Source organism: Homo sapiens, chromosome 2 (assembly GCF_000001405.40).
Source record: "Homo sapiens chromosome 2, GRCh38.p14 Primary Assembly".
NCBI classification, from domain to species: domain Eukaryota; kingdom Metazoa; phylum Chordata; class Mammalia; order Primates; family Hominidae; genus Homo; species Homo sapiens.
Genome location: NC_000002.12, coordinates 198103751 through 198128434, shown reverse-complemented (window position 1 = coordinate 198128434; position 24684 = coordinate 198103751). Strand labels below are relative to the sequence as shown.

General features: G+C 37.3%; 1 protein-coding gene across 4 annotated transcripts in view; it reads right to left on the bottom strand.

Annotated features, from left to right (window-relative positions):
- PLCL1 (phospholipase C like 1 (inactive)) overlaps positions 1-24684 on the bottom strand; it is a 345271-nt gene that overhangs the window by 21429 nt on the left and 299158 nt on the right. For all 4 annotated transcript variants that reach the window (NM_006226.4, XM_005246643.5, XM_017004339.3 and 1 more), the window contains exon 5: positions 24499-24608. In NM_006226.4, the coding sequence (NP_006217.3) occupies positions 24499-24608 (110 nt within the window). The remainder of the gene's footprint in view (positions 1-24498; positions 24609-24684) is intronic.

The window sequence follows — 24684 nt, the reverse complement described above, 5'->3', positions numbered from 1 at the left end:
CTCCCACAAATTGTCTTTAAAAACTCTGATCCTGGGGAGACAGATTGGAGCAATAATAAAACTCCAGATTCCCGCACAGCTGGCTCTGTGCGAATTATTCTTTCTCTATTGCGATTCCCCTGTCTAGATGAATCAGCTCTTTCTAGGTAGCATGAAAGGTGAACCCAACTGGGTGGTTACACCATCAGGTTCCCATCATGGCCTGAACTAGCTTTTTGGAATTTTTTGGAATCCCCTTGTCCCCATAGGACAGGTCCATTCAGTCGGTTAAGGGGCTTAGAATTTTATTTTTGGTTTACAATATAAATGCAGTTAGGCTGAACTACGAATGAAAGGAAAAAGACAAAATACAAAATGGAATGACTAAAAGCCTCTACTTCTAGTACTGATCGTTGTTCAAATTTGTGTTTCATAGCATCCTAATTTTTTTCTCCTTATTTTAGAGCCGCTTTATTTGTGTGAAGTGAGAAATTTACTCAGCAAAATAAAAAGTACATAAATTTATATGTAAGTAAATCTACCTAAACTTAAAAGTAAAAAAGCAGGGATGACTACCTCCAGAAAATGAAGATTTTTCACACTGTCCAGCAGGTGGCTCCCCTGCTTTGGACTTAGGTAGGGAGTGCCTGCTGTCCACAAAAAGCTTGTGCTCCAATGATCAGAAATGGCTTCTAAAACCATGTGGTTTATTCCTCTGCTTCCATGTAGATTTGCACCTAAGTCATTCTAAGCATATAAAAATGACCTCAAATAGATTTTGAAAACTTACCACATCATCAAAAAACATTGGTGTATCCCCAACCTGTGTAAATAGGCATTTAAATTAGAAGTAAACACTATGTACACACATTTTCAGATGGAAACTATCTTTCTTAGCAAAACCTGAAACTGTCATGCCTCTTCAAAGGGAGAAAGCATATCTAGCTATTTGCTTTCACAATTTGGTGAAAGAGAGAAAAAATGGTAACGTAAAACTATGTCCAATAAAGTTTATTTCATATAATTTAAAAAATATGTTAAAATAGCCATACCTCTTATATGTATAAGACAGTATCTTTATACTTACTGTTTGGAAAATTTTAATATACACAACTTAATCTAACATGATGTAAAGCTCTCAGGTTTAAATAATCTGTTGGTATTATAAGACAACATTCTTTCCTCTACTTGGTAGGGGTCATTAGCATGATTTAGCATGTGGAAAATGTTATCATTATGCATTTATGATTATTCACAGTAAAGAGGGTATGTGGATGGAAGGGCAATTGAAAAGGTTCACCCCATAGACAATTCCCTTTGCAACTCTTCCATCCTGCTGTGCTACAAACTGCCTACTAACATCAGAAATAACATGGGAGAGAGAAGGGCAAAGGTCAGTTTTTCAACTGTCAGTGTAAAAGGGACTAAGAATACACCACCCCCCACACACACACACACACACACTCACACACTCATTCACTGTACTAGCTAAAACCAGCGTCCCTCACCTGCCAATCTGCTTAGTAAATGGCTCTATCTTGTTGTTGTTGTTTGAGACAGGGTCTCACTCTGTCACACAGGCCGATGTGCAGAGGTGCAATCATGTCTCACTGCAGCCTCACCCTCCAAGACTCAAGCGACTCTCTCCTCAGCCTCCCAAGAAGCTGAGACTATAGATATGTGCCACCATGCCCAGCTAATTTTTGTATTTTTTGTAGAGCTGGGGTCTCACCAGGTTACCCAGGCTGGACTGGAACTCCTGAGCTCAAGGGATCTGCCCACTTCAACCTCCCAAAGTGCTGGGATTACAGGAATGAGCCACCGCGCTTGGCCTGGCTCTATCATTTTTAACTTGCTAATGGTGTGAAATGAATGTGAGCACCTAGATTTGGAATCTAGGTTGACGTCATGGTTATGAGCTCAGCGCTAACGTAGGGATGGTTCCCTCCACACAGCCCCTGGGTGGTCCCCACAGCCCAGGCAGCAAATCATGTGACCTCTCACTCTTTCCATCTTTTCTCATTTTCTGCAAAACCTAAAGACAAAAAGTTGAAAAGATTAGCCACTAAGCAAAATCACCTCAGAAGGAGACAAGGGCTTTTTTTGTAGGACAGGCACAGATTTATCATCATAAATGCAATTCTTGTTCAAAAAGATCTCAAGGCTGAGTCTTCTAGATTGTAGAGGAGTTGGGGGGTAAGCACAGAAGAGAAATGGTGTATGCAGAGACATAGAGGCAAGCACACACATGGGATATTTGGAGAACTGCAGAGGGATGGCCATGTTAGGAGCAGAAGGAGTAAGTGGAAACTAATCAAAGAAAAATGAAATCTATTGTAGGGAAAGTGTCCTACTTAACCTGAGGGAGTAGCCCCACTAGAAACAAATTAAAGAATTATATACACCTAGACAGGATTTTAAAACTTTGTTATCCTAGAGACTTGAGAAGCTATATTCCACTAAAGAAAATATATGTTGACTAATATTTGAACACTTCATGTATCTGTTGTGTCGCTAAAGCAAAAATTTACACGTCTGTTCAGAACAAACACTGGAGCATTCTGCTCGGTCTACTAGGAGGATCCCATGGCCCATTTTTGCTTACTCTTTAATTTTCCATATTTTTTTGTTCACACACCCAGGCTGACACCTGCCAGAGGATGTTTTAGTACTAGAAAGAAATCAATGGATCCTGGCAGCTGTCTCAGCTCCCTTCAAAGAGTGACCTTTAGGTGTGGCAGCCAAAGCATATCTCCCACCATGACATATTATATTTTATAATCCTCAGCTTCAGGTTGCATGTTTTAATAAAGTCTTCTACTAATGTCACCTTCAAGGGTATTAAACCAACACAGCTGATTTCCTTATTCTCCACCCACATATTCTTTTCTTCTTTTTTCTCTTGTACTTGAAAAAAAATGGGAATTGGTGGTACTGAAGCTGAATTTAATTCTTTCAGCTGTGAAAAGTCCAAACATTGCTATACTATTTTAAAGTAACAGATTCCAATACTCCTCATATCTGTAAACCACATGTTGTTTATTTTATGTAGTCATATATTTTAAATAAAAGGAAAAAATATAAAAATCCCCTAGTTCCTATGGACAAATTGCTCATACATACAAAAATGAGCACTCACAAAATGCAAAACCCCAATACTCATAAGACTAAGAGGAAAGGAAATCTGTCCTTGGTTTAAAACCAGCCCATTCTTCATTTTGAAGGCCAGACTAAGATGAGATTTATACTATGGCCTGCAGCCAAAAGTGGACTATTTTGGTAGATATAAATATATATATCTTCTGTTCTCTAAGGAATTAAGCTAAGGGCCCTCTTTCTTGACTTTGCAGGTCTGGCACAACTCTAGAGCCCAGATAGCATTCTCTGGTGAAACTTTCAGCAGTGCAGAAACATTCTGTATCTCTGTTGTCCATTATGGTAGTCACTAGCCACATGTGGCTACTGAGCACTTGAAATGTGACGAATGCCCCTGAGGAATGGAATATCTAATTTTATTCAATTGTAATTATTTTGTATTACTTAAAATAGCACACCTATGGCTAGTGCTTTCTGCATTGGACAGCACGGGCTAAAAAGTGCCAACCTTCAGCAAGATAATGAATTAAATAAAATTATTTTTCATTCTCTACAAAGTACAAGCCAAAATAACTAATTATGGCTTGTACTTTGTAACATCTGTATCTCCCATAAGAACATAAACTCTGAATGCAGTAGCTGCTTCTATCATGTTCATAGAGGCATCCCAGGAGTTAGCACAGGGCCCGGCCAAAGCAAGATTTTGTTTGTGTTTGTTGAATCAAAGGCTTTGTTTGTGTTTTTTGAATGAAAAAATTAATTGAGTGCCACTGAATTCCTACTCCCCTCAGCCTAGGTCCCAATTTCCCAGGACTATGACTAACCACCCCCAAGAAACCTCATCTTCCAACTTCTTAATTCTGGCAAGGAATAGTCAACTTAACCAAAAATTAGCCTATCCTTTTATAACTAGTTCATTGCCCCCAGCTTTTTATGCAGGCCCATTTTAACAAGACTTTTCTGGAGAAAATTATCAAAGGACTGACCATCATGCTAATTAGTAATTTCAAGGTCAGACAATTATAATTATTTTAATTACATTATATTATGACAGGTATATCTGGGAAAGGCAGAAGCCAGTGGAGTAACAATGTGTGTATTTGTTGAGCGATAAGCTAGTGAAATTCTAATCACGCTGGTTAAGGAGACTGTCCTATCTGCCCACATAAAGAACAAGTCATGTGGCCAAGGGCACCCCACTTTACATAAAAATGCATCCTAATTAAATTACATTTTTCTGCCAAAGATCAAGAGAAAATTGTGGAGTTTTAAGTTTGTGTCCTGATGAGTTTTGCACTAGGAAACTCAAACGTTAGCTTTCTCCTCCTAGGTCCCTGTATTAGTCTGCTAGGGCTGCCATGACAAAGCACCACAGACAGGGTGGCTTAAGCCAGGGTCCCCAACCTTTTTGGCACCAGGTACTGGTTTCATGGAATACAATTTTTCCATGGACTGGGGGGCTGGAGAGGGGTGCATAGTTTCAGGATGAAACTGTTCCACCTCAGATCCTCAGGCATTAGTTAGGTTCTCATAAGGAGCAAACAACCTAGATTCCTCACATGCACAGTTCACAATTGGTTTCCCATTCCTATGAGAATCTAATGCTGCTGCTGATCTGACAGGAGGCGGGGCTCAGGCAGCAATGCTCATTGCTGCATGGTCTGGTTCCTAACAGGTTACGGAGCGAGGTTTGCTCTGTAGCTTAAGCAACAGAAATTTATTTCTGACAATTCTAGAAGCTAAAAGTCCCATATCAAGGTGTTGGCAGGGTTGGTTTCTTCTGAGACCTCACTGCTTGGCTTATATAGATGGCCATCTTTTCCCTATGTCTTCACATGGTCTTCCTTCTGTACCTGTCTAAGTCTAAATTTTGTCTTCTTATAATGACACCCATCATATTGGATTATCCCCCGCCCCACCAATTACCTCATTTTAATTTAGTTACCTCTTTAAAGGCCCTATCTCCAAATACAGCCATATCCTGAGATACTGGGGGTTTAGGATTTCAACATAGAAATTTGTGAAGGGGACACCATCAAGTCCATAACAGTCAACCCCTCCTAATGTTCCAATCTCTGTTGCAAGTGGACTTGTTATCTACAGCCAACCACACTAGAATCCTCTGTATTTAAAATTGAGGGATAGTTTGCCTATTGTAACATGAATAACAAACCCTTCCCTCCCCACTGAAGATGAGCATCTATCTCTCTGCTTTTATATATTTACAAGTTCAGGAGTTTAATTGTTATTATGAAGTGTGGATTTACCATTGTTATTGAGCTTTTTCATTCATTGTATATGAAACAGCTATGGACCAGGTGGGGCAGTCTTGTCAGACTGTGGACAAGGACTGCGGGTCCACACTGCCTGGGTTTCAATCATGGCACTGCCACTCATTAGCTATTAGCTAACCTTTCTGTCCCTTGGTTTTCTCCTGTAGAAAATGGATATCATAATAGTGTGTACATATATCACATAATTGCTATTAGAATTTACTGATTTAATAAGTACAAAACACTTAGAACACTGTCTAGAGAGAATACATATTTTATAACTATAAGTGATTATTTGTTGTTAAGTGTATTTTACATTTTAAAAATATATTTTAAAACTGGAACAAATTCAGTTCCAATCAGTCATATGCTTAATTCCAGCTTTATGGTGAATATTCTGATTTTCTCTAAAATGTCCCACTTCTTTCTGGTATACCCAATTTGTTTTACAATAATTCTCTAGTTTATTGAATAGAAATAATGATGATCTCAAGATGAGAGGATTATTCCAAAAGTGTAACTGAGACCAAAGGGTTTGCCAATTTGGAGCATAAGTGAATACCGGGGAGGAGAGCATTTTCTAAAAGCATTTTCATATATTTATGGCACTAGATATATGATGAGTTCTTGGTAAATACTTAAAGATTGGCAGTGATGAAGATGGTGATGATTCACAAAGGAAGGAAGAAACTCAAAGATAAAAGTTACCCAGATTTTAAGAAAAGATCATATAAAAAATCTAAAGTTCAGTCACTTTGATTGTTAATATCTGAACCATGCTAGAAAAAGACAATAAACCTAAAGGGAGTTAAAGTGTCTTTTTTTTTATCCTCTTATGAGCAACCAAAGGCAATAGTGACCAATGTCTTCTTGCACTGGGATAATTGTTAATATTTTCACAGATTTAAATTCATATAATTCAGTTCACATCTTGAGCACATTTTGTGTGCTTCTTCTAGAGTAACAACAAAAAATCAAACATGGGCACTAGAAGAGTAGAATGTAGAATAGGGCCACTAAAAATTGTATATAATGTATACTCAGGATATCTGTGTACATATGTATATGGATGCCTGTACACAGCATGAATTGAGGGAAATGGCTTGAAGGAGCTGAAGCACTGATCTAGAAACCTGTGCAATTATATCAAATAACCCTGAGAACAGTCACCAGTTGCCTGATAGTCAAAAGATGGCCACCAGAAGGAGGAGAAAAATAAAGATGGGCACTGGTCCTATTGAGAGAAAAAGCCAAAAGCAAATTGCCAGTCCAGTGCATATGGGAGCCTGCCTGTATTCTGAAAAGATGGAATACTCTGGTAGGAAAAGATGAAACTGAGTAAAAGAGTAGGCCAGGTTCTTCAAATTATAAGACAGAGCTGTAATAACCAAAACTGGATGGTGCTGGCATAAAAACAGACATATCGACCAATGGAACAGAATAGAGAACCCAGAAACAAATCTACACACCTACAGTAAACTCATTTTCGACAAAGGTGCCACGAACATACAATGGGGAAGAGACAGTCTCTTCAATAATGGTGCTGGGAAAACTGGATGTCCATATTCAAAAGAATGAAACTAGATCCCTATCTCTCACCATTTACAAAAATCAAATCAAAATGAATTAAATATAAGCCCTCAAACTATGAAACTACTACAAGAAAACATTGGGGAAACTCTCCAGAACATTTGTCTGGGGAAATGTGTCTTAAGTAATACCCCACAAGCACAAGAAACCAAAGCAAAACTGGACAACTGAAATCACATCAAGTTAAAAAGTTTCTGCACAGCAAAGGCAACAACCCAAAAGTGAAGAGACAAACTATAGAATGGAAGAAAATATTTGCAAACTACCTATCTGACAAGGGATTAATAATCGGAATACATAAGGAGCTCAAACAATTCTGTAGGAAAAACTCTAATAATCTGATTAAAAACTGGGCAAAAGATCTGAAAAGACATTTCTCAAAAGAAGACAAATGGCAAACAGGCATATGGAAAGGTATTCAACAACACTGATCATCAGAGAAATGCAAAACAAAACTACAATGAGATATCATCTCACCCCAGTTAAAATGACTTATATCCAAAAGACAGGCAATAAAAAATGCTGGCGAAGATATGGAGAAAAGGGAACCCTCATACACTGTTGGCAGGAATGTAAATTAGTACAGCCACTATGGAGAACAATTTGGAGCTTCCTCAAAAAACTGAAAATAGAGCTACCATACAATCCAGCAATCCCACTTCTGGGTATATATTCAAAAGAAAGGAAATCAGTATATCAAAGAGTTACCTGCACTCTCAGGTTTATTGCAGCACTATTCATAATAGCCAAGATTTGGAAGCAACCTAAGTGTCCATCAGCAGATGAATGGATAAAGAAAATGTGATAGTACATATGGAGTACTATTCAGCCATAAAAAAGATTGAGATCCTGTCATTTGCAACAACATGGATGGAACTGGAGGTCATTGTGTTAACTTAAATAAGCCAGGCACAGAAAAACAAACTTTACATGTTCTAAGTTATTTGTGGGAGCTAAAAATTAAAATAATTGAACTCATGGACATAGAGAGTAGAAGGATGGTTACTAGAGGCTGGGAAGGGTAGTGGGGAATGAGGGGAGATGAGGATGGTTAATGGGTACAAAAAGAAGTTAGAATGAATAAGACCAAGCATTTGATAGCACAACAGAGTGACTATAGTCAATAATAATTTAATTGTATATTTAAAAATAACTAAAAGAGTATAATTGGTTTATTTAAAACACAAAGGATAGATCCTTGAGGGGATGGATAACCAATTTTCCATGATGTGATTATTATGCATTGCATGTCTGTACCAAAACATCTTATGTACCCCACAAATATATACACCTATGTACCCACAAAAATTATTTTTTTTAAGAGTAGACCAGGAAAAATGAAACTCCCCAGAGGTTGAAGTAAGAAAAACAGGACAAAATTTCAACCCCATGAGAAAACGGAGCTGCCAAGAACTGCAGAAACGCCCATCTTCCCAAATGACACATAGGCATCCAATGGTGACGTTGGACACAACGCCCAATATGAAGAACAAGCTTTGGTACACAGGCATCTACAGTGACCTTGGACATCATGACTGTGGATATTAAGGACAGGTTTTGGTGTCACATAGATCAAGGTGTGCATCCATCCCCACGGCTTACTAGTTAGTCGCATCATCTTGAACAACTTGCAGAGCTTCTGTAATCCTCTGCTTTCTCCTAAATCTCAGCACTGTACTAAAACACAGTCCCCACCCTGAAGGAGCAGGATTTTGTATGAGAAAAAGACATAGGGACACATCATTAACATTTAGTGAGTCAGGGTGGTGAGCATGGGAATAAAATTGTGTATAAGCTACAGATCTGGCACTATACAGGAGATAATTTGGTTTTGATGAGAATTGGAGGGTGAGGGGTATGGAGGGACAAGAGCAGGGAAGGCTTCCCTGGAAAGGCAATGGATAACACTAGTGCTGGATGTGAGTGATGAAGAGGAGCTGGTGGGTGACTGAGGAGGGAAAGAACATCACAGTTGGCAGGAACAGCAGTGCGAAGGCATGGAATCCCAAAACTGCCTGATATTTCCAAGAAACAGAACTGAGGGCCTGGAGAATATAAAATGTGAAGACACGGAGGTAAGCAAAGCCCCCATCACAGAGGACCTTCTATCCAGGTCAAGAACTTGGCATTTTTTCTTGAAGCTAACAGACTAACATCAAATCATTTCTCTCACTCAAGTCTTAGGCTTTTTAAAAGATTTATTTATTTTTAACTCTCTTAAATGAATTTAGAGCATTTTTTTCAGAAGATTAAATGAATTTAATTAAATTTTCTTACACAAGAAGGATGTATTAGATTTGAAAAGAGGACTTGATATTATTTTCCAAATGCCTACAGTTTCTGTTGTCAAGTTACAAACTGAATCAACTATGTTTGGTTGTCAAAACCAATCAAAGTTAAGATCTAGCTGAGTTACAATTGACATTTTCCTCATCTGATGTATGTAATACTCTGGATTCTTGGGCTTCTCTACTGTGCTTCAATACACAAATAACAATAGTTTCACATGAAGACACACTACTGTATATGAATCCTTTTGAAATGACTGAAGATTTATCCTAAATGTAAACCTTAGTAGGGAAAATCACTACATTAGACAATAATTATAATTAATGTAATAATAGTTAAAGGCACTCAAAACTTCATGGAGAACAAAAGGTTAGAGACAGAAAAATGCTTAGACTGACAACTTCATGGTAACTACATGACAAATCCAGAGGACACTACTCACATGCATTCAGTGGGAATGGCACCCCCTACGGTTGTGCAGTGCACAATTGACATAGGAGTATGCAGCAGCTCTGGCCAATTCAGGGATTAGACTGTTAAACCTTATGCTGCAAAAAAGAAATGACAGACAAACTGGTATAGAAATGTCTAATCAAAAGCTCCAGGAAAATAATACTGGTTGTGCTGATGTTTAACTTCAATGAAAATTCATAAAGTTTCATGTAATTAATTTTCAAGTCTCCTGTAGTTCAGAGATCTCTATGAAAACTTTTCCTGAGTATCTTTGACAAAACAGCCAAAGGATCTGACCTTCCCAGGAGCTGTTATTTAAAGAGGAAGGACAGTAGTAGTCACTTTATTATTTGCTCCTTTCTCTCTCTCCTCTCCCTCTCTCTCTTTCTGACCAGAGAAGAATCTCTAGAACAAAATTATGCTTCCTGAGATGAACCCAGCAATTTTTAAGGTGGTGGTTATTAAGTAGAGGATGACCGAATGATTTAGTATGGTTGATAAAACTGTGATTCAGTAGCAAAGACTATATTTTTCAGAATTTAAAATTGTAATTTCCATCTTGATGGCATTTGTAATTATTATATTGCTTACACATTTTTATGTTTTTCATAAGAACAGCTGAGAATACATTTAGTTAACCAAAGCCTCCAAGGAAAATTTCATTCCTCTATTATTGTTATTATCATATCTACATGTATTATTACAGAGCTTACAATAAGCAGGGTTTAATAAGTGAGTTGTTTAATATAAGAAACGAGCCTATGATATAACACATATACAAGCACACACTATGCATACATATAATTGTTCCTTTTGATGGTATTCTTCCTCTCCCAGGCTAAAATGTACTATTGATAAAGGAGAACAGGAAGGAAGTTGCTGGCTTTTTCCCTCTCTAGTTTCAGAGTACATGTAAAGACTCTATGGGCTGACTCAGAGGATACACAATATACATTGTTAAGAAGCTTCAGTCTCACCTACTCAGATTTAATACTAGGACATAGTTACCTCTAAAACATACTTTTCCTATACAAGACTTTATACGCTAGCTTTGTTTTTTAGCAGTCTTAGATATCAGTTTCTTGGTTGATAGCAAACCCACGATAAACAAGAACCTGTTTCCTGCAACATGTGTGGTAAGTGTGGAGAGCCATCTGGAAGGTAAGGGAATGAGGAAGCGGTGTGTAACCATCCATGATTTCACCAGCAAATAAACTGTATGGAACTCTCAAGTGTCTATAGGACTGTTTCAGCATATGTTCAAATTGTGCCCATCCAAGCAGTTTGGAGGAATAAACTTCTGTTACAATAATGTACCACCAGAGAACATGAGTAATTCTAACACATTCAACCTTCCCTTTCTATATATCTTTGCTTACAAAAAAGTGAAGCCCAATTGAATCTGAAAAAAAAAAAGAAAAAAAAAACAGAAAATGACTGATAGAGACCCATATTTCTGACCCAAGGAAATCAGAATTTGTTGCTGAAACCCAAGTCATATTTTCAGGGCATCCAGTATATTTTAAATGTATATGAAAAATATGTCTCTTAACACATGCTTAAGAAAAGGAGCTCAACTTTCTGAGACTAGATTTATTTGTAATTGATCAGGAATGTTTTTTGACCCAAGAAAAGGAAAATTCCCAGGCAACACATTCATGAACCAGTTTTATTCTAGTTTTTTTCATAAGGCCAGCTGCTGAGTAGCTGACAACTGGGAGATCCAGAATATTCTAGTTGATTAAGGAATCCCTCTGAGAGATTTGAATTGCAATATTTTTTCCCTGGAATACATTGTAAAGCAATTTAAGAACTTTCCATCCCTCAGTATAACTGACTCAAAAATCCATTGAGAATAGTTATCTTTTAAATAAACACTCAAAGACTTTAGCTATTTTTAGAACACATAGCTTCGTCCTGGCAGATTTACAAATCCCATCATGAGGGGTTAGTGTATTTCACTGCATAGGGAAGGATTCTCTTCTTTGTCTCTGAAACCCTGGAGCTTCTACATAACGACTTGTTAACCTTTCCATAATATTATGCAATGATGCAAAAGTCTAATACTTAATTCTAAGTCATGGTTCTGTGAGAGTCTTTTCTTTCTGGAAGTTACCTTTTTTCAAAGCATTAATAAAATTATTATAATGATCCGTATTTCTTGTCTTATTCAAGTAGTTATCTGAAGAGTTATGTGTAAATTTTTATGAATTTAAGCATATTTTTAAAACTCCAAGGGCATACGTTTTTCAAAGAATCTATAATTAATCTCATAAGGCCATGAGTTTTTCCTTAAAGGGAAAATTCAGTTATTAATTATCCTGCATTCATAGATAGGTATCTTCACTTACCACAAATACTAAAAGTATCAATAATGTATGGAGAGTAATTAATAGTACAAAATCATTTTACAAAAAGTGGGAAATAAGGAGAAAAAAAGATTTATCCTCCTGGCCTATTACTATGAGTATGTAATCTCATATTTGATGTATCTTTGAGCACATTGTATCTACTTGAAATAAGAAATGTTTAATTAAACTGGAAAATAACCACTTATGACTCCAGGGTAACTTTTTTGCTGCTCCATAATCACGATCTTTTCAATATGACTTTAAAAAAGTAGCATCTAATTTCATTATGCTTAACCTAAATTATTCTTTAGATTTTTACATTTACATATTTGTATGTACACATATACATATATACACACATAACATTTTATATATACATGTATATTTATATATTTATATGTATCTATTTTTATATATTTAATAAGTATATTTTTATATATTATATGTATATATTTTATATATTTAATAATTTTATATTTCATAAAAATTTTTTATATATGAGATATGGCTTGGCTGTGTCCTCGCTCAAATCTCACCTTGAATTGTAATAATCCCCACGTGTCAAGGGCGGGGCCAAACAGAAATAATTGAATCATGGGGGTGGTTTCCCCCATACTGTTCTAGTGGTAGTGAATAAGTCTCACGAGACCTGATGGTTTTATAAATGGAGTTCCACTGCACAAGCTCTCTTGCCTGCCACCATGTAACACATTCCTTTGCTCTTCTTCCGTCTTCTGCCATGATTGTGAGGCTACCCCAGCCATGTGGAACTGTGAGTCCATTAAACCTCTTTCTTTTATAAAGTAACCAGTCTCAGGTATATCTTTATTAGCAGCATAATACAATATATAAATGCATATGTTGACAATGCTCAACTTTATCTGAGCCCTGTGTTCCAGGAAATCAGGGATGGTTAAGAAATCCCCTCATCCTTTTGTGTTCCTCAAAAGACCTTACTTACTGCAAAGAACCCCTCTTCCCCATAGGACTTGGCTAAGACTCATGGAATCTCCCTTGTTTATCTGTGACATGGCCAGACACAGACCTTTCAAATTCCCTTTCTTGCCTCATAAATGACTAGCTGAACTGTTTGTCTGTTTGTGTCCACTAACCAATCTGGAGAAAATATTGATACCTACTACCTGGACTTGGCCAAACTTTAATTAGGCTTCTCTCTTCCCCTTAGGCCCTGGAACTTTGACCCACTCTCATCCTGAGACAGCACACAGCCTCTCCTTAATCGCCTCTTACCAAGAAAGGACTGACCACAGGAAAGATGTTTCCTCACTGTAGGATCAACTGTGGGATCACGCTACCCACTCCCTCATATGTGCTTCTTTCTGACCTTCTGTGCCCTTCCCTATAAAAGAAAAATCCTTTCTGCCTGGCCTTTCAAATGCTTACAGATCTTAAGGTAGGAGCATTCTCCCCATTACAATAGTTCCCCTATCACAGTAGTCCCCTCTCCTTATTGTGATAATTCTTTTGAACAGATTCTCTATCTAAATTCAGATTTGACTTTATTTGACAATGTCTGTGTGCATACCATATATGTGTGTATATATGTATATGTATATATAGATATATATATGCACACACACACACACATTCAGAGAAGTGAACTCATTTTGCTCTGATTTGGATTAACAATAAGGAAATTAGATAGATGTAGCCCATTTTTGTCTTCCTTGAGTAACAATATCAGAAAAGGAGCTTGTGAGTATAAAACCTACAAGGGCTGTAAGGAACCAGAATGAAACAATTTGGTTATCAATGTTTTCTTTCCACTTATATCACTGTAAGAAATACTTAATGCAGAGTTAAGACATCAAACTCACTTAAGCTACAACTCACCTTAGGCTAAAACTCTGTGTGTAAGAAACAAATTTTCTCTAAGGAAAATTTTCCTGAAAGAAAAGTAAGACCTTCAATAACTTCACAAGTTGGAGCCAAGTCCTCTGGTCTATGATGCATCTATTCATTAGGATCCTGCCACTTTTGAATTATTCAGATTCATTATAAAATGCAGCTTTCATCTGAAAAAAAAAAGTGTACCTCCAAGAGATGCTAAATTTAGTTCTACTGGAGATAAAGTGGTGTGTGCTTCCATAATCATGTCAACAGCCCGGCTTTTATCTCTACTAAACTCCTGGGCAGCACAGCTGGGATGCAGCCACCCAAGGCAGAAATCTGGACACCATGTAACCAGTCTGCCTATTGCTAAGAAGCATTAACATTCTATTTAAACTGTCCTATATTGTTGGATAAGAGCTGTTTGAAATAATGTTTTAAACTTGTGGCTTTTTTTAAATTATAGATGCATCAATTATACTTCAAAAAATTTACCCATATATCTAACACTAATACTAATATTCTATATTATATAACTCTCTCTCTCTCTCTGCATCTTTTCAGCTTTAAATTGTAGAAATTTCTCAGAAACCAACCTTATAACATCCTCCTCTGTAACTATAAGCTATTAAATGAATTTTATGGATACACATGGTTATAAAACTTCGCTGCAGATTATATTTTAGAAGGTGGATGATTAAATTAATTTGTAATTAATATGGCCAGATTTGATATAATAACAAATTAGCCATAATGCTAATGAGTGGTAATTAAATGAGCAAGGCAGAAATTTTAGAACTCCCCAGACCATGTTGAAGAGGTCCGGCACATCTTTATTTTGATGTGTTTTCTTTTCACCATTATTTTCAAATTGTTTTGGCAACCACACTCAAGTATCAAGATACAAGGCAGGGTTTTGGAATCCATGAAAGGCTGGAATATTTACTCACCACTGTACTGGTATTTCCTCGTGGAATACTTCCCTGGCCTCTCCCATTAGGTCAAATCCCATTGCACACTCTCATAGTGTCATGCACTTTTTTAAGGCACCCATCATAAGGACAAATTTAACACACATCATGTGCTTGTTAAATGACAGCTTCCCCCACTAGACTGTCAGCTCTGAGACCAGAAGGCCACATTTTTATTCACCAGTACATTCCCAAGCACAAAGCCTGTCACCTAGTAAAGACGTAACAGATACATTTGTTGAATTAATAAATTTGGTTTCACCAAAAATAAAATGAAATAAAAATTTGTTAAATTATTGTTTGCTAATTTATGGATTAGAAGCCTCATTTATGCATTGCACTTCCTTATTTATAAATGTCAGTGTGGAAATAACATCACCTTCTTGAGGTGGGAGAGAAGGGTCTTTATTTTGCACTAATTAGCCAAACAATAACAAGATTCTACAAATGTGTCTAGGAGTATCTTTTCAGATACCTCGTCCACGGATAAATATATCAAACTTAGTTTATAACCCCCAGATAGATGCTATGCCTTCTAAATGTATACTCTACACTTTATAAGGCTTAATAATATTTTCTTTTGTGTATAAAAATAATGGTACTGACATATGAGATTCAAGCTGTTTTTCTAGAAGTGATCCATCCATTCTCTCCCTTCTGCCACCCACCTTCTTCCTGGTAATCAATGATATCCATTGTAAAGCAGCTGGCTAAGATTCCAAGTGAGTTGAGGGCTTACTAGGTTGAGCGAGACTAAACTGGCTGCCACTGGAATAAGACCCTCAATTTTGGCTTCATCCCTATTTTGCCCCTCCCAGTTGCGTTCACCAAATGTTTCTGGCATGACTGTTAACCGTAACTGTTTGCCAAAATTCCAACATTATTTTTAAACGTTTAATAGACAAAAAAATTGAAATAAACTTTACAACAAAATGAAAATTGAAGAAGTAAATGTTGCCTAGAGGAGACACAGAATAGATTCTGCTGTAACTCCTCAGTTGATAAAGGACAGATTGTAGGTCTGAACAGTAGAACTGTGGCTGTGGAGGAGGGGGCATGAGGAAGGAATATGAAAGGAGTATAGCCTTTGTAAAGTTTTTGCTAGAGGCATGGCTCTTGAACTTCCTCTGTCCCATCAAGAAATGGCAGCTAGCAATGTCCAGACTAAAAGCCAATGAATAGCAAAGCTGTCCAAGAGAAACAAGAGGAGGCTGGCTGGGCTCTCAGGGGTCCTGGGTCTGGTCTTCTGCTTTGGTATTGTTGTTGTTGTTTTGCTTTGCTTCCGTGATTCCCAATCGTACCTGTCCAAGGACTCAACTGTATCCATTCGCTCAGGGGTGATCAGGCCCTGGGAAGCTGATTCATGCTAACCAAGCTCATAGGAGATGGACAAATAAAAAAGGAAGTTAACTGATTTACTTACAAAGAGAAATGTGACTACTGGGCAGATGGAACTAGTTATACCACTTGGTCAATTCATTCTATTTTCCACTAGAAAAGTGTACCTGGGAAACCAGATTGAGAAAAGAGAGTTGTTTTGTAAATATAGTGTTGTAAATAAATTATTCTCAAGATACACTCTCTCGCTGTAGCTTTCTGCACTAACCACTGACTACTGACAGTAGGCATATTCTGTCAAGGTGATTGAAATATTCATGCTAGATGGGCAGGACACTCACTCCCTTAGATAAGTAAAATAATAAATATAAAACACTTGGTAGGATACTTGATACATAGAAAGTGCTCAGTTAATACAAACCATTACTATTATGGTGCTGTCAGTATTTTGACAATATAGCATAGTGGGATGACAACATGGCCTTTAGAGTTAAATCCTTGCTCCATCACTCACTTCCTGTATGCCAATGGGAAGGTTCTTAACCTCCTGAGCCTCATTTCCCCTATCTGTAAAATGGGTATAATAAGAGTAAATTTACAGGGTTATCCTTAAAAGTAATTAAAATGTTGTGTAAAAATCACTTGATTATTGTAAGCACTGAATGTTCATTTTTAATAATAAAAATAACAAACACTCATATAGCATGTGCCAGATACTGCTTTATATATATTTACTCATTTAGTCCACATTATAAGGGGTAGTTGAAGAACTTGTCACTGGTAGATTGTATTTACCAATATCTGCTCCTCTTCCCTGAGAAGGTTTACATTTGTCCTACTCCATGAAATCAGACTTGACTGTGGCTTGCTTTGACCAGTCAAATGTGAGTGGAAGGGACATGTGACTCTACTGGGCAGAAGCTTTTAAAGACCATTTTTGCATCCCTACCTCTGGGATTGTAGAAGTATTTGCTGGGATGGAGTCCCCATTAGCCTGTGTTCCTGAGTGACCATTACTTACCTGTGATGGACATGTAGTACAAGCAAGAAATAAGCCATTGTGTTATATTGTAGTAGATTTTCAGATTTTTGTTACTATAGCACAACCCAGCATACCCCAACTGATACAAGAGCATAGAGACAAAACAAAATTTTCCCAAAGACACAGAGCTAGGAAGTGTCTGGCTGCAGCGTCTGTACACTTAATCACTTTGCCTGCTGTTTCTCAATAATTGATAGTATAATAATATCAATATTAAGGATGGTTTATTATTAATGCATTATTGTTGTTGTTTGGAGGTCTGTTTCTACACTTTGTAAATATACTTTTTTTTCTGAATACTCAAAAGGAATCCTAGCCTTTCTCTAGATTCTACAGCAACAACAGCTGGCAGATGCCAGAGACACCACTGGAAAAGTTCTCAATAGACAATGTGGATGATACTGGGCATGTTCCTTCTTTATATACCCTCAGGCAGCCCCCAAAGGCATGGTCACTATGTCTGTTGGAAGAGCCTGGTTTGAACATTCACACTAACAGCCCCCTCTCCACAGTATCTCATAGAATGATTTTAAATATCTATGGCCAGTAAGTGAAGGGTAGCCCACTTCTCACTCTCACTCAGCTTTCAGAGATGGATGCCTCTCCTCATACTTCTTTTCCCATTAGCCCATCATCTGTTTCCTTTCTTTTGTCTCTCAACAATGAACAGAGACTTCAAATGTGTTTTCAGGCTCTAATTGAAAGCGTATTTCTACACTGACATCCATGTAATTTCCTCTGTTGTAGCAAGATTCCCCAGAACTGTAAGGTCCTGAAATTCGGGAATTCAGTGAGGGAATCTGCCTGGGTTAGAAACATAACTACACACGGAGAAGTGAGAAGCTTCAATCTCTGCTCTTCCCACGGAAATTGAAAATGTTTTAGATAAAAGCAGAAGGAGCAAAGGCTTAAGTAGTGATAAAAAGCAAAAGCGTTATGGGGAAAAGTAATAGTCACATATACTAAACATAAATTTATAAAAGCAGCCCAGAATCATGGCACACATTGGAATGCATTAAATTATAAGTTGGAAATCTATCCAGGAAAAGTGTAAATACATATTTAATAGGAATGACCATTGAAGAGGTAATAGTTATATTCATTTTTTATTTATTGCCTGTTATTCAACAAGTAATCAATGAAAGTCATGAATAAATAAGAAGGGCAGCTACTTCTTAACCCTTTTATTTCTCTTTAAGCTCTAGTGATTACCTACTTCATAGTTTTTCCTTTGTAATAAAATATTTATTAATTATATTTCTTTAATATTATTTTTATATATCTCTACTTGATACTTCTCCAGCCTGCTAAAATTGATTTTTACATAAAACTTTTAAAAACACAAAGTAATAAAATTTAGTTTCTTAAAATAGCCAACAGGACAAGTTAGAAAAATATATATTGGGAAAGCTCACTAAAATGCTCCCCTTGGGTTCTTTCTAATTTCAGTTTTATAGATGTGATCACCTTTACAATGCAGTTCTTTTTGTACTTAAAAAGTCAAATCACTCTGGATAGAGTTCAAGACTTTAGATGAATTCCACTTCATTGCAAATAGCATTTTATCAGTGATATAGTGTAATTCCACATCTTGCTCCCAAGAGATCTTCAGAACTCTCATGAGTGAAACACTTCCAAAATTACTAACAATGTACTAGAATATGTTGGCTACGTAAGTGAAGTTGTAGTATCCCTTTCTGAAAGCCTTAAAAAACAGGAAAAATTTCCATTTTGAGATTTTAATATTATGTTAACAACCAAATGTCTATAGTTTGAATGTTTGTGTCCCTTCCAAAATTCATGTTGGAACTTAATCCCCAATGCAATAATATCAAGAGGTAAGGCCTTTAGGAGGTGATTAGTGCCCTGTAAAAGGGCTGGAGGGAACTAGCTAGGCCCTTTTACCTTCTTTTGCCTTTCTTTCCCTTCAGCCATTTGAGGAGACACCGTTCCTCCCCTCTGAAAGACGAAGCAAGAAGTCACCATCTTGGAAGAAGAGACTGTGCTCTCACCAGACACTAAATCCACTCCTGCCTTGATCTTGGATTTCTCAGCCCCAAGAACTGTGAGAAATAAATTTCTGTTGTTTATAAATTACCCAGTCTCAGGTATTTTATTATATCAGCACAAGAAGGACATCATGGAGAAGAAACAGAGGGAAAGGTCTTTTAACATGTGAGGGTGGAATGGAATGGAGTTATTTTGATCCAGTGATTGTCTTGAAAAGGTAGTGAGGACTGAATCATCCTATCATCCTAAATAAACACAATGGCTATGTAAGGAGACCAATTTCATGTACAATAGTGAAAAAGAAAGAAAGGAAGAGCAAATTGACTGCTACAGTTGGATATAGACATATGGCAAAAGTATGGAAAAATGCAAAAGATACGCTAAACAAGTCCCTATACTGGACCCACGTAGGTGCTAGAATATGAATTAAAGAAAAACACAAGTGTGGGATCTTCCAGAAGCACCTTGATTTCAGTTTCCTTGCTAAATACTAAGTCCTGGTCTCTGCAACAATTTGGACACTGTAATTATAATTCTTATTCATTATATTGTCGTTAGTCATTTTTCTTTCTGCAATTTTTTTCTCCAGCTTTTAATATCAGATAAATGTAATATTGAACTGCAGAAAACACTAAACAATTTATTTTTCAGTCTCAGCTCAATTTACTCTAAAGCCAATGCCCCTTTGCACCACTCCATGCTGTCAATCCCCCAACTTGCTGAGGGCACATTTCTCATTTTTTTCCAGCTCCTTCCTTACTTATTGGAAATTACACTGGAATTAAATATTTTTAGAAATACAAACCAACACATTTAACCAGAATTGGTTAATTCCCACTCCCTCTCTCTAGATAGTAGGGAATACTAGTCTAAATCATGTATAAGGAAACTTTTTCAGTAGGCAACGCAGAATTGTACCACAGCCTCCTAATTCAGTGATTATGTCTTTCCAGGATGGTTATTAATCATTCAACCAACTGGAAGCAAGGTAAATTGAATCTACTAAACTTATAAACAAAGAGCATTTATTAAAATACTTAGAGGAGCTCTGAAAATCAATAGCAAGTCTGGAGAATTAATTGGGAATCAAGTGTTTCAGATCTAATGCATAAGAACTAAAGGAAGAATCGTATAGAAAAAGATATCTTCTTAGAGCAGCACCACTGGAATAAAAAGTCTCCAACAGAGCCCAGGCTCTTTTTCTCTCAGCTAATAATTCAAATTCAAAGGAGGTCATTTGTCCAGCTCTTGGGGAAAGGACACCAGATTAACAGGCCCCAAACTCAATGGAGGAGAAAAAGGAGCTATTGGAAGTGTGGAAATGTTCTCTACTCTTGTTTAGTAGTAGTCCACTACTCTAGTGCTCAAGCTGAAATACCAGCAGCTAGTATGTGAGTTATAATAATAGAAAATCAATTCTGTCTGAAAAGCTCTCTCTTGGAATAATTTGAACAGCATTTGCTCAATCACATCTAACAATCAGCTTCTGTTACTAAACCAAACAAAAACATTAAGAAATCTCTGACAACACTAAGTGGGCTTAAGTCAGAAGTTAACAAAGAAATAAAAATAACAAAAACCTCATTTCTCCATGTTTATCCTCACCTGGCAAACAAACAAATAACAGCTAACATATATGCTGTCTAGTTTTGTGCACTGTGACTTACATCTTTTGTATGTATTATCTCATTTAATTCTCACAAAATCTGAGATGTAGGTATTATTACTACCCTGAGGGAGATTATATAACTTGGCTAGTCTCACCACTATCAGGTAATCACACAGGGCCTGCATTCTTATTCCTGCACTAGGCTGCCTGGACCCAATGGGACTGATATGGTTTGGACCCAAATGTCATCTTGAATTGTTGTTCCCACAATCCCCACGTGTTGTAGGAGGGACCTGGTGGGAGGTAATCAAATCATAAGGGAGGTTATCCTCATGCTGTTTTCATAATAGTGAGTGAGTTCTCACAAGATCTGATGGTTTTATAAAGGGCTTTTCCACCTTTTGCTCAGCACTTCTCCTTGCTGCTGCCATATGAAAAAGGACATGTTTGCTTCCTCTTGCACCATGACTGTAAGTTTCCTGTGGCCCTCCCAGCCATGCTGAATTGTGAGACAATTAAACCTCTTTCTCTTATAAATTAATTACCCACTCTCGGGTACGTCTTTATTAGCAGCGTGAGAAAAGACTAATACAGGGACTCAGCCACATGGATGGAGTTTTAGAGGAGGCAGAACAGTGTAGTGGATAGAACCATGGGCGTGAGTTAAAAATTGCAGGCTGGCTGTTTACTAGCTGTGTGACTCCAGGCAAGAAATTTCAACCCCCACAAGCCTCAATTTCCTCATTTGTGAGATGGAGAGAGTCCTATCAGAGTCAGCATGTCATGTTGCAAGATTGCACTGTTGTGGCAAGGAAGAAAGGGGAAATGTACATAAAGTACCTAGCCTTGAGTGCTGATCACAAAATAAGTGCTGAACAATTGATGGCCATTATTAGTTACATGTCTGTCTCTCCTTATAGACTAGTCTTGGAGACCCAGGTAATCCTCCTGATATTTGTATCCCTAGCACCTTTCTGTGACAGGCACATTAACAAGCCCATATAAAATCTTCTGAACATAAAATGTTTATATCAGGGTACACACTGCCACATTATAATCTAGGGTTATAATAAGCACCTCTTTAACACTACAGCTCTAGGTCATCCCTGCTCCTTAAGCAAATGATGCCTTATCCATCCCCCTCCTCCACTGGACTCAGACTGCTAACTTCATGAGGTCAGGGTCTGTATCTCATGTTCTCCACGTATTCCCAGTGCCTAGCACAGAGCCCAATGCATAGTAGGGGCTTATCACTTGTGGACTGAATTTTTAATAGACATTTGTAATATGTCTTACAGCTAACCTAACACTTTCACATAAACATGTGCAGCATCTCTGCAGCACAGGTTAAAGACACAGGGTCTGGAGCCAGACTGCCTGAGCTTAAAATTTAGTTACACCATTTACTAGCTGAGCGCCCTCAGGAAATATACACAGACTTCCAATGCCTCCGTTTTCTCACCTGTAAAATGAGATTAATAACGATACTGAGTTGGTGTGAGTATTAAATTGTTAATTCATATAAACCTCATAAAACAGTACCTAGCACAAAATGAGTGTTCTTTAAATGTCAGCAATTATTAATTTTGTTTGTAGCTATTTTTCTCCCATTTAGCTGTCAAGAATATATTGTCTGCCTAAATCATTTCTTTTTTCATGTAAGAAAATATAAAAAGTGGCATATTTACTTCAAAATTCTAAAATTCATGTGCAGCAGAGAGCAAATCATAATCTCAAGAAAATGACTTCCAAAGTTATTTGCAAAAAGAAATGTATTTATAGGAACTGTTCTTAAAATAAAAATCCTCAATGGCCCTAGATATTTTGTACTTTGTCTCTTCAAAATCATTTGTGTTGGAATCTTCCCCAGAAGCATTTGTCATTATTCTTTCCACAAACAAGAACAGCCATATTGACTTGAACGTAAGTATTCATGTGAGTAAACACACACACACACACACACACACACACACACACACACCAGGCAAATTAATCTCACACATGGGCTGTACCCTGCCTGCACCGAAAACCTCATTGCCTTATTAAGGCAAAAACCATGTTAATTCCAGTATGCAGCTCCCCATCTCCTAGAGTATGAACCTAGAGATCAAGCCACACATTCCTGAAGCCATCACTTGACCCAACTTCAAACGATACTACAAGGCTACAGTAATCAAAACAGCATGGCATTGGTACAAAAACAGACATATAGACCAATGGAACAGAATAGAGAGCTCAGAAATAATGCTGCACACCTACAACCATCTCAGCTTCAATAAAGTCAACAACAACAAGCAATAGAGAAAGGACTCCCTATTCAATAAGTGGTGCTGGAATAACTAGCTAGTCATGTGCAGAAGATTGAAATTGGACCTCTTCCTTGTACCATATACAAAAATCACTCAACATGGATTAAAGACTTAAATGTAAAACCTAAAACTATAAAATCTCTGGAAGTTAACCTAGGAAATACCATTCTGGACATAGGACCTAATAAAGATTTCATGACAAAGACACCAAAAGCAATTACAATAAAAACAAAAATTGACAGTGGGATCTAATTAAAGAACTTCTGCACAGCAAAAGAAACTATCAAGACAGCAAACAGACAACCTACAGAATGGGAGAAGATATTTGCAAACTATGCATCCAACAAAGGTCTAACATTCAGAATTTATAAGGAACTTAACAAGCAAAAAAATAAACACCCCATTAGAAAGCAGGCAAAGGACGTGAACAGACACTTTTCAAAAGAAGACATATACGCGGCCAACAAGCATATAAAAAGGTGTTCAACATCACTAATCCTTAGAGAAATCCAAATCAAAACCACAGTGAGATACCATCTCACAGTCAGAATAGCTAAAAGTCAGAAAATAACACATGCTGGCAAGGTTGTGGAGAAAAGCGAATGTTTATACAATGCTGGTGGGAATGTAAATTCATTCAGCCATGTGGAAAGCAGTGTGACAATTTCTCAAAGAACTTAAAACAGAATTACCATTTGACCCCAGCAATCCCATTAGTGGGTATATACACAAAGGAATATAATTCCTTCTACCATAAAGACACATGGACATGTCTGTTTGTCACAGCACTATTCACAATAGCAAAGCATGGAATCAACCTACATGTCCGTCAATAGTGGACTGGATAAAGATAATGTGGTACATATACACCACAGAATACTACACAGCCATAAAAAAGAATAAGATCATGTCCTTTGCAGCAACATGGATGGAGCTGGAGGGCTTTATCCTAAGCAAACTAATGCAGAAACAGAAAACCAAATACTATATATTCTCACTTATAAGTGGGAACTAAACAATGAGACCACATGGACACAAAGAGAGGAACAGCAGACACCAGGGACTACATGAGGATGGAGGGTGGGAGGAGAGAGAGGGTCAAAAAACTACCTATTGCATACTAGGTGCTTATTACTTGGGTGACAAAATAATCTGCACTCCAGCCCCCCGCGACACACAGTTTACCTATATAACAAACCTGCACATGTAACCCTGAATCTAAAGTGAAGGTTTAAAAATCCAAACCATCATATTTAATCCTTTACATTTCTCTACACATTGGAGAGATGAGGAGAAGAAAAGTAAAGGCACAGGGGACATCTGAGTGTTTCATCTACCTTCAATACTGTAATGTTCCAAGCAAAGCTCTCAGTTGCTTTGTTGAGTTTTCTTCCCTTCAAGCCTTCTTTTGCCCCCAAATTATGAAGTTCTTCATGGAACTCCATCCCTTTGAAGAAAGAATGCATAAGAAATCTGAGTATATATCTCAGAAAAATGGGCATCTTATAATGAAAATATTATCA